The 15,714-nt window shown below is 49.1% G+C and overlaps 1 pseudogene across 1 annotated transcript; it reads right to left on the bottom strand.

Moving 5' to 3' along the window:
• Nucleotides 1-11,167: 11,167 nt before the first annotated feature.
• Nucleotides 11,168-13,138, bottom strand: IGLL3P (immunoglobulin lambda like polypeptide 3, pseudogene; annotated as a pseudogene). Its single transcript, NR_029395.1, has 3 exons — nt 13,020-13,138; nt 12,258-12,353; nt 11,168-11,628 (listed from the first exon to the last, which is right to left on the bottom strand). The product of NR_029395.1 is annotated as an immunoglobulin lambda like polypeptide 3, pseudogene (transcript).
• Between the last annotated feature and the right edge of the window lie 2,576 nt (nt 13,139-15,714).

Genomic DNA, 15,714 nt, shown 5'->3' with positions numbered 1-15,714 from the left:
ACACTTGCACTGTGCTGGGCATGCGGGTCCACATTTTAGGGGAAAAACACACATTTACAAACACATTCACAATCACTACACATTAATTCATCCCTAGCTAACTCCCAACCCTCATGCACACAAACCCACACCATCTAAATGATACGGCTGTTTCCAGGGACTCCAGTGGATGATGACAGTTCTTCACTGAGCCATCTGTTTCTCACAGTGCACTCCAGGTCCTCACTCCTATCAGGAACCTGAGGCCAGGCAGGCTCTCCAGACAAAAGCAGGGAATAGAGCCCCCCACAACCCATCACTTAGATTTGTATCAGCAAGGGAGTGGTCTTAGGATATATACGGTGTTAGAGAAGAGAACAAGACACACTCGGGCCTGTCGGGGCAGGGGAAGGGAGAGCATCTGGATAAACAGCAAATGCATGCAGGGCTTAATACCTAGGTGATGGTTTGACAGGTGCAGCAAACCACCATGGCACACTTTTACCTATGTAACAAACCTGTACATCCTGCACATGTATCTCAGAACTTAAAAAAAAAAAAAAAAAAAACAAGTTAAAAAAGAAACGGCCGGAGTAGGCAAATCTACAGCAATAGAAAGTAGATGAGTGGCTTCCTATCGCCAGAGGTGTGGGGGTTGGAAAAAGAGAGGAGTAACCACTAATGGATACAGGGTTTCTTCGTGGAGGAATGAAAACGTTCTAAAATGAGATTGTACAATGGTTGCACAACCCTGTAAATACAGTAAAAACACTGAATCACCCACTTTAAATGGGTGAATTGTTTTGCATGTCAACTATTTCTCAATAAAGCTTTTTTTAAAAATAATAAATACATACGGTAGGAATTTTGGGCAATGGGTTTTCATGGAATATTTGCAAGTCCATGTTGGCTGGCAAATACAAAATTATTTTTCAAGAAGAAAAAGTTGCTACTAAAAAATATGCTCACTACCAGACAGTTTGTAGGTAATGCTGTCATTTTTTACTGTCATCATCAATTAGGCCTCAGTTGTTCATAAACTCATGGCTGGTCACTAGAGTCCATGACCAACTGAAGCTTGATCAACTGAAGCTTGATTGACAATGGCAATCAAAAATGATATTCACTTGATATTCCCCCCACCAAGAAAATTGTCTTAGTCATCTGTTATGTATATGGTCAGACTTTTATGTCTTCATTTCATTAATAAGGGAAGAAGCCCCAGAAAAAAAAAAAATTCTCTTCCAGATGAAGGAATGCATCTCACCATTTCAGATAACACCTCCTCCGCAATATCAAGCGCAATATCTTCCAGGTCCAGAACAGAAGCTAGGAGAACATAGAGTAATAGTCAGTGCATTGGTGCTTCTCAGGAATCCCACTAGGAGCCTTGGGGGATGTGGGGACCAGCGCTGAAGTCTATGGAGGTGGGTGGTTGACAAGCATGGACTGAGCTGCTGCTGGACCATTCTCTTTGGTGTGGAAGGAAAGCAAAGGAGAGGAGGAGAAATGTGAAATATTAGCGTTAAGAACTGATTAATACAGAAAGGCACTGTATGGTTCTGTGAGAGCATCTCCTCACACCTCCTGCCCATTTGAAGGTCCAGGCCAATCCCCTCATTTTTCAAAATGTTACAAGACCATTTAATTCTGTGGATTTACATATCCTGCTACTACATTTATCACCTATCGTGTTTTACTTTTTAAATTATGGTGAAGCATACATATTATTTTAATTATTTAGTGTACATTTCAGTGAGATTGAATTCAGTGAACTACATTCATGACGCGGTGTCAATAATGAGAAAAATCTAAATTCATACTCTAAGCTTAAAAAACAATTCTTGCAGAAATCAATGGAATAGAAAACAGAAAATCATCCGAGAAAATCAATAAAACAAAAAGCCAGTTCTTTGAGATCAGTACCATTGATAAACCTCTACCTTGGCTAACCACAAAGGAAAGAAAGATGTTACAATGTACTAATAGCATCAATTGAAGAGCAGTTAAATCAAAAAATAATAAAGGAATATTCTGAACACATCTATGCCCACAATTTGATACATAGATGAAATGAGCTCATTCCTTTTTATCGATTTTAGAAGACCAAAAGTCTTCTGGGGAAAAATAGATCATCTGAATAGGCCTATATTTATTTTAGAAATTGAAGCAATGATTAATAATCTTTCAAAAGAAGGAAAAACCAAAAACACTACATTCATATGATTTCACTGGTTAAAAAAAAAAAAAAAAAATTCTACCAAAATTCTTTTTTGTTGTTGTTTTTTGCGACGCAGTTTTGCTCTGTCACCAAGCTGGAGTGCAGTGGCGCGAACTCGGCTCACTGCAACATCTGACTCCCTGGTTCAAGCGATTCTCCTGCCTCAGCCTCTCAAGTAGCTGGGATTACAGGCACAGGCCACCACGCCCAGCTGATTTTTGTATTTTTAGTGGAGGCGGGGTCTCGCCATGTTGGCCAGGATGGTCTTGATCTCCTGACCTCGTGATCACCCGCCTCAGCTTCCCAAAGTGCTGGGATTACAGGCGTGAGCCACCGTGCCCAGCCCCAAAATTCTTACAAAGAAAAACCTGGTCTTACCATACAAGCAAGTAATTATAATCCTAAGTATTTCCTTAGTTATATTTTGGAAACATAATTTTTAAACAAGACACAGCAAGGTTTTTAATAGCTATATTCATAATTGCCCAAAGTGAAAGCAAATATCTAAACATTTGAGGTGTCCTTTACTATTAAAAGTGAACCAAGCCTGGGCAACATGATGAAACCCCATCTATACAAAAAAAAAAAAATAGAAAAATTAGCTTGGCATGATGCCTTAGTGCCAGTTACTTGGGAGCCTGAGGTGGGGGGAACACCTGAACCTGAGGAGGTCAAGGTTGCAGTGAGCTGTCATTGCACCAATGCATTCCTGGGTGACAAAATGAGGCCTTGTCTCAAAAAATAATAATTTTGAATTTTGAATTTAAGAAATCTCCAGCCGGGCGCAGTGGCTCACGCCTGTAATCCCAACACTTTGGAAGGCCGAGGCAGGTGGATCATGAGGTCAGGAGATAGAGACCATCCTGGCTAACACGGTGAAACCCACCTGTACTAAAAATACAAAAAATTAGCCAGGTGTGGTGGCACGTGCCTGTAGTCCCAGCTACTCAGGAGGCTGAGGCAGAAGAATTGCTTGAACCCGGGAGGCAGAAGTGGCAGTGAGCTGAGATCATGCCTCTGCCCTCCAGCCTGGACAACAGAGTGAGACTCCATCTCAAAAAAAAAAAAACAAAAAATCCAAATATTTGGGCCTGAATTATCCCAATTATTAGCTACTTTAAGGGTTGGGAGAAAAGTAACAATCTGACCCTTAGCTGGTTCCTTCATTTAGGTACCAAACCGGCCGGATAGGTGAGGCTAGAGAATGGGATGGGGACTCCAAAATTGGGGTATTTGAATTTTCATTGAGAAAAGGGAGAGACTAGATCAAAAAAGCCTCAATGTCTAAGGCAAGAGGCAGAGCCAGCCTTTGTCCCCCATGCCCAGACCTGGGAAAGCTGGCTATGGACAGGAGGGAGCTGGAAGCTGAGGATGTCTCTGGGGATGAGGGTAAGGGAAGGGGGTGGGGGTGGCCAGAGGTGTGCCAGAGGGTAAACGGCACCCGTGGCTTTTTTACCTGTGGGCATCTTTTGGTTGCTGATGTGCTGCAGGTCTTGGCCCTCCGTGGCTCCCACATCCAGCTTGCCAGGCTCTACGGTAGTGGATTCTGATGTTGCAGCAGCCACGGCCTCATAAATATCAGATTCATAACTGGATGCTGCCTTCCCCCTGGGCCAGCCACAGTCGGAGCTGACTTTGGGGCACACACGACAGGTCAGTATATTCCCCGTGGGGCACCTACACTCCTCTCCACTCCTGCCTGAGCCTTCGATGAAATTGTAACTGTGCTGCCCTAGCAGCCACACTACTGAGGGTGGCCCTGCACTTGTAGAAGCAGCCTGACCCCAGGCAGATCTGGGGCCTCAGCCCGTAGTCTGCCGCCACCTCCCAAACTGGATGGTCTATGAGGTCGGGGACCTACTGTTTTACCTCAAAAAGAAACACGACAAGCGCCAAGAGGCACAAAAACTGCCGTCAAAGAGCACAGTCGGAGCTCCTCCTCCCTCCACTGCCAGCTACCGACTGAGGGCTGCTGGCCTGGCTAATGCCTATAACCCACAAAGCTTCCTATGTCACCTGGTTACCAGGAAACAGGTCAGGCTAGTGACTCACCATGTCCAGCCCCACAGCCCCCCCAGTGCCTCACAATGCCCATCCCAGCTGCTGCCCACCTTGTGGCACCCCTGCCCCTCCATGGGGACTGCACTACTCAGGCTTTTATTCACCCTGTGCGGCCTGAGCTTTCCAGAACTAAGCAAAGTGCAGGGGGGGATTGTTATTGGAAGTCACCCTTGGCAAGAAACTCAATAGAAAACCCTGGCACGGCCGGGCACGGTGGCTCACGCCTGTAATCCTAGCACTTTGGGAGGCTGATGGGGGAGGATCACCCGAGATCAGGAGTTCGAGACCAGCCTGGCTAACATGGTGAAACCCCATCTCTACCAAAAATACAAAACATTAGCTCGGCGTGGTGGCAGGCACCTGTCATCCTAGCTACTCTGGAAGCTGAGGCAGGAGAGTCGCTTGAATCCAGGAGGTGGAGGTTGCACAGTGAGCTGAGATCGCGCCATTGCACTCCAGCCTGGGTGACAGGGTTGAAACTCTCTCAAAAAAAATAAAATAAAATAAAATAAAATAAAGAAAACCCCAGTTACTAAAGTCAGTTCCACCAGCATTTCTGTTTTTGAGTCTGACAGCTTTCATTTGCTCACCAAATGTAGTTATACACAAGTTTTTGACTGCTTTTGTAACTAAATGCTTCTCTCCTGTCTTACAAGTGTTAGTTCTTGTCTGCAACTTGACCATAGCTACCCCCAGGGCCCTGGTCCCACTCTCAATAGAGAGTTATGGCTGTGTATCCTCAGTGAAACCCTGGGACACATCACACTTCCCTCCTCGTCTATAAAATAGGGACTGAACACATCCTTCCCAGTTCTGTAATGCTAGGACGTACCAACTCCCTTTTCTCGCTGTTTCTTCTTTCCATGGCAGGGGTATTCAGATATTTCTTTTATTTACTTTTTATTTATTTTTTGAGATGGGAGTGTCACTCTGTTGACCAGGCTGGGGTGCAGTGGCACGACCTCGGCTCACTGCAGCCTCCACCTCCCAGGTTCAAGTGATTCTCCAGCCTCAGCCTCCCGAGTAGCTGGGACTACAGGCATGCACCACCGCATCTGGCTAATTTTTGTATTTTTAGTAGAGATGAGAGTTTCACCATGTTGGTCAGGCTGGTCTTGAACTCCTGACCTCAGGTGATCCACCTGACTCAGCCTCCCAAAGCGCTGGGATTACAGGTGTGAGCCACCACGGCCAGCCTCAGGTATTTCTTTTACTAATAATGCATAAAACATTATTTTCTTATACAAAATTAAGAACCACACAGTGGGGTACCATTGTCCTCATTTGATAAAGATGAATAGTCAACATCTGGCAAGCATTATGTGTCTGACACTGTTCCAACTGTGGCCTACTAATTTAACCTTCAGAAACAGTCGCATTTTATAGATTTTGGAGAATAAATCTAGATGGAAAAGTCAAGTAACTTCCCCAAAGTCCCACGACTGCTCAAGGTGGGGCCAGATTTTAATCCTGAGGAGTCTTGATCCCCACAAGATGACTGTGGTTATCAGAAAGTAAAGGTAGAAGTCAAGCATGGAGGGGAAGTGACATTGTAGATTAGTTTATTTTAAGAAAAATGGCTGGGCGCGGTGGCTCACAGCTGTAATCCTAGCACTTTGGGAGGCCCAGGTGGGTGGATCACGTGAGGTCAGGAGTTTGAGACCAGCTGGGGCAACATGGCAAAACCCCATCTCTACTAAAAATACAAAAAATAGCTGGGCGTGGTGGCACATGCCTGTAATCCCAGCTACTCAGAAGGCTGAGGCAGGAGAATCACTTGAACCCAGGAGGCAGAGGTTGCAGTGAGCTGAGATTGTGCCACTGCACTCCAGCCTGGGCAACAGAGCGAGACTCCATCTCAAAAAACAACAAAAAAATGTTTTTTATGTGGATTTTTAAATTCCTCCCTTTCATTCAACATTAAATCCCTTCTAAGGGTGAGGCACTTCATGGTCCTGAAACAGTCCCAACACTCAGTGAGTTCAGGCAGATGAGCAAACCAAGGCTTAGAGAGTTCAGTTGTGTAAGACTACACTGCTGGGCAGTGAATGAACCTGGAATACAAAGACTCATTCACTGTCCAGCAGTAGAGTTTAAGTAGAGTTTAAATTTTATTCTAGCAACATGAGAGTCACGGAACCACATAGAGATGAGGAGTCTCTATCAGACGTGTTTGCAGTGAGGTCTCTCTGCACAACAGAGAAGGACTCATGGAAGCAATGGGACCAATTAAGAGACATTATGTTGGGAGGCTGAGGTGGGTGGAACATTTGAGGTCAGGAGTTCGAGACCAGCCTGGCCAACATGGTGAAACCCCATGTCTACTAAAAATACAAAAATTAGCCTGGCATGGTGGCGGGCACCTGTATGTAGTCCCATCTACTCGAGGGGCTGAGGCAGGAGAATCACTTGAACCCGAGAGGTGGAGGTTGCAGTGAGCCAAGATCACACCATTGAACTCCAGCCTAGGCGACAGAGAGAGATTCTGTCTCAAAAAAAAGAGAGAGAGACACTATGTTCATCTGGGAGAACAGATAAGGCCAAAGGCAGAGGAAATGACTGAAGTGGACGGAAAAGTTTTGTGTTCATTTGGGAGAGAGAACAGGTAGTGCTAGAGGATTAGATGTGGAAGAACAGGGGAAGGAAAAGGAAAAACAGGCTGCTAAGGCTCTAGTTTGAAGGACTGGGTAAATATCAGTGACTTTCTCCTACACAGACAATGTAGGAAGAGGAATAGGTATGGGGAATAAGATAGTTTTGGGCCAGACACGGTGACTCACGCCTGTAATCCCAGCACTTTGGGAGGCCGAGCTGGGTGGATCATGAGGTCAGGAGTTCGAGACCAGCCTGGCCAACATGGTGAAACCCAGTCTCTACTAAAAATACAAAAATTAGCCAGGCACAATGGCAGGTACCTGTAATACCAGCTACTCGGGAGGCTGAGGCAGGAGAATCCCTTGAACCTGGGAGGCGGAGCTTGCAATGAGCCGAGATCATGCCACTGCACTCCAGCCTGGGTGACAGAGTGAGACTCCGTCTCAAAAAAAAAAAAAAAAAAAAAAGATAGTTCTGGACTCTTAAGTATCGCACTGAAATGGAGCTCTCTGCTTGAAAGTTGGATAGAAACCTCTGTAGGCTAAGTCCATTCTATGACATCACAACTCATGTTTTAAAAAATAACACACACGTTAAGTCAAACCATTAACGAAATTTCCTAACATTTACATACAAAGAATATGACAATTTTTTAGTTATTACTTTCTTAGAGCAACTCTGAATTTATGATCATGGTGAATGAGGTGTCATGTAAAATAAAGCTGTTATATAAAAACAACATTTAAATTTTATTCTCATCAGAGCATATAGAAAACAATTGAAGCCATGGGTATGGCAGGGATTGCTTTAAAAAGCTGTGTCTAATAAGGGGAGTTGGAAAGAAAAGAGATGTGGGGGCCAGGCACGGTGGCTCATGCCTGTAATCCCAAAACTTTGGGAGGCCTAGGCAGGCGGATCACCTGAGGTCAGGAGGAGTTCAAGACCAGCCTGGCCAACATGACAAAACCCCGTCTCTACTAAAAATACAAAAATTAGCGGGCATGTTGGTGGGCACTTGTAATCCCAGCTATTCGGGAGGCTGAGGCAGGAGAACTGCTTGAACCCAGGGGATGGATGTTGCAGTGAGCCGAGATGGTGCCACTGCACTCCAGCCTGGGTGACAGAGCAAGAATCTGTCTAGCAAAAAAAAAAGAAAAAAGAAAGGAGACTTGGGGAACAGGGAGATTTAAGTGGCATTAAGTAAAGCCTGCAAATGTAAGCAGTGAGTGTCAAGGTACCTCACTGTTCATCAGAAATGGCTGATCGAGTGAGTCTCATCACAATGGAGCTGGTGTCTGCTTCTGATTTCTGTAATGGCCACACCTAGCACAGTACCTGGTCAATAGGGACTCAATACCTGATACCCCAATGAACAGAGTAAAATTCTGCCAGTTCAAAAACACATCCATACCCACCAACTTCTCTCGTGGAGTTTTACTTCTTTCACTTACTGTAATGTTTTGAAGTTCATCCCTCCTGTGACCTGTATCCATAGTTTCTTTTCCTTGTGTAACTGAGCAGTACTCCACTGTATGCACAGACCATATGGGTCTATCCATTCTCTAGCTGACGGACACTTGGGTTGTTTCCAGTTGCTGCCTATAGTGAATGAGGCTGCTGAGAACATTTATGTACACGTCTTTTTGGAACACATGCTTTCATTTCTTCTAGACAAATTCTTAGGGCTGGAATTGCTAGGTCAAATGGCTAGTTCATGCTTAACTTCTTTTTCTTGCCTTTCTTATTAATAGAAAAGAATATACTGATACATGATATTGGAAATATCTTTTTTTTTTTTTGAGGTGGAGTATTGCTTTGTCATCTAGGCTGGAGTGCAGTGGCGCAATCTCGGCTCACTGCAAGCTCTGGCTGCTGGGTTCACACCATTCTCCTGCCTCAGCCTCCCAAGTAGCTGGAACTACAGGTGCCCGCCACCATGCTCAGATAATTTTTTTGTATTTTTAGTAGAGACGGGGTTTCACCATGTTAACCAGGATGGTCTCGATCTCCTGACCTCATGATCCGCCCGCCTCGGCCTCCTAAAGTGCTGGGATTACAAGTGTGAGCCACCAGACTCGGCCTATATTGGACATTTCTGAGTTACATGTGCTGTTTGGTTCTGTGCATCCACCGTGTCATCATCAAGTCAGGATATTTGGGGTATGGCTTCAGTATTTATCATTTCTATGTGTTGAGTATATTTCAGTTCTCTCTTGTGGCTATTTTGAAATATACAATACATTATTGCTAACCATAGTCACCCTACTCTGCTATCCAACATTAGAACACATTCCTTGCATCTAACTGTAAGTGTGTATTCATTGACCAACCTCTCTGCATTCCCTTCTTATACCCAGAGAAGGAGAGAGGAAGGAAGGAAAGGAGCTGTGGTTGGGCTGAATTAGGGCCCAGGGACGGCTGTGTCCCAGTCCCGGGACCTGTCCATGTGCTGTGTTGTGTGGCCTCAGGGACTTTACAGATGTGATGATGTCAAGGGGCCTGAGGTGGAAGATGATCCTGGGTTATGTGGGTGGGTCCAAGGTGGGGTCTTTATAAGGGAAAGGAGGAGGCAGGAGGGTCAGAGTGACAGCAGGTGTGGGGCTGGAGGACAAGAAAGGGAGAGAAGGAGGGAGGGTGAGAGAAGGCGGTGGGGAGAGAGAGAGAGAGAGAGAGAGAAGAGTGGGAGAGATTTGAAGATGCTGGCTCTGGCTTTGAAGTTGGAGGAAAGGGCCAGGAGCCCAGGGCATCCTCTAGAAGCTGGAAAAATCCTGGACACGGATTCTCTCCGTAGCCCTCAAAGGAGCCTGGCCTGGCTGGCACCCTGATTTTAGCACTCTACGATTCATTTTGGACGTCTGACCTCCAGACCAGGGACAGAATCAATGTGTGATGTTTTAAGCCTCTAAATTACGGGTCATTTCTGACAGCAGCCACAGGAAAGTGAAACAGGAGCCATGGGAGAGACTCCCTAGGATGCCCCAAGGGTACCTCCTTGGCCCCACCCACAGAAACACAGGCCTGACCACTGCTGGTGCCACCACCCCTCTAACACCCTGATGAGCAGGAACCATGCAGGAGAGGCTGGGTGTGGCTGGGCCCTGTTCTCTCCCCCCACACCTTCTTCTCAGAGAGGAGCTGGAGCCCCAGACCTAGGGAGCCTCACAGAGAAATGCCCAACACAGGACCTGGTTTTCCACCTGAGGCCCAGGATCCAATGGCGAAGAGTTTCCCAAAAATGATGCTTCCTGCAAAGATGGCCAGTGACTGTCTGTGCCAAGCATCTGAGAAACTCTCCATGTCCTAGGGCTGCCAGGAAGTCACCTGTGCACATGTCAGAGCCCAAATCCCATCAATAGTGAGGCCTTGGGTAAAACACATCCCCACTTTTAATTATGAAGAGATGCCTGGCCTCAGCATTGAGAAAACCAACTTCCCTCGAGCAAAGACTTGTTTAATCTCTTAGAAATGATGGAGCACACCAGCCTGAACAACATGGCGAAACTCCATCTCTAATAAAAATACAAAAATTAGCCGGGTGTGGTGGCACATACCTGTAATCCCAGCTACTCAGGAGGCTGAGGCAGGAGAATCTGTTGAACCTGGGAGGTGGAGGTTATGGTGAGCAGAGATTGTACCATTGCACTCCAGCCTGGGCAACACAGCGAGACTCCAACTAAAAAAACAAAAAGAAAGAAATGATGGAGGTATTACCCTTCTTGCACTGGTTCCTGGAGAGCTCAGAGCCTATCTTTTGCAAGTGTCCTGATCCTCTTGCAGGCCTTTCATGTGTGTTTCCTTCTTGGCTTCCTCCTATTTTTCTCAGGCCTCTGAACCTGCTGTCAGATGAAAAATCCTGGACAGTCCAGCTCTCAGGGGTGGGGAGTTGGGCAGAGAGGAAGGAAGGCATTCCAGGGGCCAGGGTCAGGGCCAGAAGAGGGGCTCCAGGCTCAGAGTAGGATTTCCAGGCTGAGGAAAGAGAGGCTGTGGGTGGGTAGAGGGTCCAGACCAGGACAGGGACACAGGGTGTATCTGGAGGCTCAGCCAGAAGTAGCTCCCTCCAGAAAGCAGGCAGCGAGTTGGGGGTTGAGCTGCAAGGAAGAAGGGGAGGAGGGAGAGACTGGAGGGACTGGTGTCCAGTGAGCGAACTCCTCCTATCCTGGCCTATTTCCCCAGGGGACACCCGTGGGTGGCTTTGATCCTCTCCTCCAGGCTACTTTCCCACTGGTGTCAGCATTCTCCCAGCGCCACACTGAGAACCCAGGAGAAGCATCACATTATATGAGAGATAAGAAATGAAGAGAGGGAGCAGGATTTCTGGTTGACAAAGAGGATATTTACTGAGGGTTTACTGGGTACAGGGAGAAGGGCTGGATGGCTTGGGATGCAGAGAGAGACGCCTCCCCTGGGATCCTGCAGCTCCAGGCCCCTGTGGGTGGGGTGGGGGCTGGGAACCTATGAACATTCTGCAGGGGCCACCGTCTTCTCTGCAGTGCTCCCTTCATGCATGACCTGGCAGCTGTAGCTTCTGCGGGACCTCCACTGCTCGGGCGTCAGGCTCAGGTAGCTGCTGGCCATGTACTTGCTGTTGCTCTGTTTGGAGGGCGTGGTCATCTCCACGCCCTGGGTGATGGGGGTACCATCTGCCTTCCAGGTCACCGTCAAGATTCCCAGATAGAAGTCATTCATGAGACACACCAGTGTGGCCTTGTTGGCTTGGAGCTCCTCAGAGGACGGCAGGAACAGAGTGACCGAGGGGGTGGCCTTGGGCTGACCTGTGTGGACAGAGGAGGGGGTGAGAGATGGCAGAGGGAGTGTGGGGTGTTGTGGAGCGCCTCTCTCTGTCTAAAGTCTCTGGGAGGGTTCATGGTGTGGCCGTCTGGTCCACCCAGGGCCTCTCCTTCCCTCCTCATTCCCTCCTTTCCACTGGAGCCCTCTGGAGAGCAGACAGCCCTGTGCCTTCCTAGGACCCCTTCCCAAGTCACCTTTCCCAGGTGTCCTGGCCCAGCCCTTTCCTCTGCAGCCTCAGTTTCCCCGTGTGCACCCAGGGCAGGCTGTGCTCCCTCCTTCCTGGTTTCTGGAGTCTGAGTTTGGAATCTAGGGGTCTCCCCAACAGCACACAAAACTGACCTGGCAGGGTGTGGGGAGGCCCAAGCCTGGCATGGCCTGGAGCTTCCCATCCCCTGGGGCACCAGGCTGTGACCCAGCCTGGCCCACTCAGCTCTCCTGGTGAAGCGTGGGCTCCACCCAGACACACCCTGGGGCTCTGCCGTCGCCCCTGTCCCCACCAGCCCAACCACAGGACCCTTCACATCGGCTGGGTTCTTGGGGCTGCTAACACAGATGTTGGGGTACCACAGCCCCCATGCCCACCCCAGCAGCCTCTGATGCCCCTGGACTTCACCTGTCAGCCGTGGAGTTCTCTGCACTCCCGTTTACTCCCCGCTAGTCACCTTCTGAGTCTAAGGTGCCCTTCCTCAAATGAAGGCAGGAGGCCGACCTGTGAATGGAGACACCAGGCCCCAGAGGTGATAGGGCTCCAGGGACAGACACATCTCTGCACTAAGAGACCCTCTCCTTTCTCGTGACCGTCCTGGGAGGGCTGGGCTCTGGGACCTCACCCAGTCTCACCCATCCCTCTATGTCCCCATGTCCTTACGACCCAGCACAGGCCACAGAGCTGCAGCCTAGACCCAGAGCCCTCTCTGTGCCCTCCATTGGTCTCCCCTTGGGGTGACGCCTGTGTCCCCAGGGCCCTGTGTGGCCCTCCCAGGCTGGATGGGCATCCAGCCCTCAGCCTAGACCCTGGGGTCCCGGGGACTGTCTCTAAGGCCACTGCAGGGCCCCTTATCAGAACCGGCCTCTGTCCCTCACTCAGACACTTGCCCTGGGAGAGGGGAGGAGCACTGACCCCGCCCAATCCCAGCCCAGGTCCCGGGACCAGGCTGTGTCCCACTGTTGGAACCTGAAGGCGGCTGCTCCCACTGTAGAGGCCCTTCAAGCCAGTTGACCTGAGACTAGCCCACTTCCCCCAGACCCCAAGGAGAAAGGGAGGGTTTCATGCCTAAGGCCTGGAGGCCAGAGGGGAAGAAGACCCAGAGAAAGAAAACAGATTTTTCCAGAGACAGGAGAGGGTGGGACAGGCTGGGAAGTTAGAGCCACGTACCTAAAACGGTGAGCTGGGTCCCGCTGCCAAACACATGCTTCACTGAATTATGCTTGGATTGAAACCCCCGGGGCCAGCACCCGGGGCCAGTCCAGGAGCCGCGCTGGAGCAGGAACCTGCTGGGTGTGAGGGGCACAGGGCTGCAGTGTGTAGGCTGTGATCTAGGCACAGGGTAGGGGGGTGGCCAGTGTCCCAGTAGTGTCCCCCAGTAGTGTCTCTGTGCCTGTTCTCTATCTGAGGCAGGTGCCGCCCACAGCCTTGGAGTCACCCCGGCATGTGTCCCCCTCTCTGAAGCTGTTGGTGCTGATGGCAACGCTGGGCCCAGTAGGTCCCAGCAACTCCCTGAGTGACACATCCCCTCAGGCAGCTGTGCCGTGTGGCTGAGGAGTCCTCAGCTGGCTCGGACCTGTCCACCTCACTTGGCCTCATTTTAAGGGCCTCTGAAATCTGCCACAAGTGTCCCCAGTCAAGGAGGCTGACTTCCTCCCTGGACCAGGACACTGGGTCATTCCTGACTCAAGAGGAGAGTCCTCTGCTTTTGTATCTACCCATGGAGATGCAGCTCAGTCTCACTTTGTTCATGAAGCCTTTTCTGATCATTCATTCCGTCTGTCCGTCCATCCATCTGTCCATCTGTGCATCTGTCCATCTATTCATCTGTCTTTGCATCCATCTATCATCTGTCCATTCATCCATCCATCTACCTGTCCGTCCATCCATAAATACATTCTGTCTACCAGGCACTGTTTCGTGTGCTGGGGACATGGTGTGGTCCCCCAGGCTCTCACCCCCATCTCTCCCAGGTCATGGCCAACAAGGCCCTCCTCATGGTCATGTCCAAGGTCCTTCTGCTGTACCTGGTGTCTCTGCTGGATATGACATGGGACTGGCCCCTCTTTCCAGTGACTCTTTTCCCCTGGGGTCTGAGACTCCCCTTTCCTCTTACCCTGGCATCTGTTTCTCCATGGCCCATGCCTGGCTGCTGACTCCCCAGCCCCCACCCAGACCTCTTTCTTGGCCATCTTCACACTCTGTGACCCCCACTATTGCCCACATGGTGAGGCTGGAGTCTATCTCAGCTCCAAACCCTCTCAGCTCCTCAATTTCCTGCTGACCATGCCCAGTGGGCTACCCAACAGGAGTCTCAAACTAATCACGTCCAGAGGAGATGACCACCTTCCCCCAGCCCAGCTCATTTTCTGTCTTCATCTCATCACAATGACCATGGGCAGTCTCAACCCCTCAGCCAGAAACCTGGAGTCCCTGGATTCAGTCACCTCGCCTCCCACACTGAAATGGCTTCTGCGTACTTAGCTACTGCATCTAGACATTCCTTTTTTTTTTTTCCTTTGAGACAGAGTCTTGCTCTGTCACCCAGGCTGGCATGATCTCAGCTCACTGCAACCTCTGCCTCCCAGGTTCTAGATGATTCTCCTGTCTCAGCCTCCAGCGTAGATGGGATTACAGGCATGCACCACCACACCCAGCTAATTTTGTATTTTTAGTAGAGATGGGGTTTCACCATGTTGGCCACGATGGTCTGGAACTCCTGACCTCGTGATCCACCTGCCTCGGGCTCCCAAAGTGCTGGGATTACAGGCATAAAGCCACCATGCTCAGCCTTTATTTTTTATTTTCAAAAAAATTTTTTTTCTTTTTTTTGAGATGGAGTCTCGCTCAGTCACCCAAGCTGGAGTGCAGTGGCACCATGTGGGCTCACTGCAACCTCCGCCTCCCGGGTTCAAGCGATTCTCCTGCCTCAGCCTCCAAGTAGCTGGGACTACAGGCGTGCACCACCACATCCGGCTAATTTTTGTATTTTTAGTAGAGACGGGATTTCACCATATTGGTCAGGCTGGTCTTGAACTCCTGACCTCATTATCTCCCTGCCTCAGCCTCCCAAAGTGTTGGGATTACAGGCGTGAGCCACCACCCCCAGCTTTTTTTTTTTTTTTTTTTTTTTTTGACTGAGTCTCTCTCTGTTGCCCAGGCTTGAGTGCAGTGGTGCAATCTCGGCTCACTGCAACCTCTGCCTCCGGAGTTCCTGGGTTCAAGCAATTCTCATGCCTCAGCCTCCCAAGTAGCTGGGACTACAGGCATGCACCACCACACCCAGCTAACTTTTCTATTTTTTATAGAGTCAGAGTTTCACCACGTTGGCAACGTTGGCCTCGAAATTCTGAACTCAAGTGATCCACCCACCTGGGCCTCCAAAAATGCTGGAATTACAGGTGTGAGCCACCATGCCGGCCCCAAAAAAATCTTTATTCTTTTAAAATTATGAGAATATAACATTTCAGACAATTAAGAAATGAGAAGTGCATTTAAGAAGTGTAATATTGGGCCAGGTGCGGTGGCTCACGCCTGTAATCCTAGCACTTTGGGAGGCTGAGGCAGGTGGATTGCCTGAGCTCAGGAGTGCAAGACCAGCCTGGGCAAAATGATGAAACCCCATCTCTACTAAAATACAAAAAAAAAAGGCAGCGTGCGGTGGCTCATGCCTGTAATCCCTTTGCACTTTGGGAGGCCAAGGTGGGTGAATCACCTGAGGTTGGGAGTTCGAGACCAGCCTGACAAACATGGAGAAACCCTGTCACTACTAAAAATACAAAATAAACCAGGCATGTTGGCGCATGCCTGCAATCCCAGTTACTTGGGAGGCTGAGGCAGGAGAATCGCTTGAACCCTGGTGGCA

This window comes from Homo sapiens, chromosome 22 (genome assembly GCF_000001405.40).
Source record: "Homo sapiens chromosome 22, GRCh38.p14 Primary Assembly".
NCBI lineage: Eukaryota > Metazoa > Chordata > Mammalia > Primates > Hominidae > Homo > Homo sapiens.
This window is presented reverse-complemented; position numbering and strand designations above follow the sequence as displayed.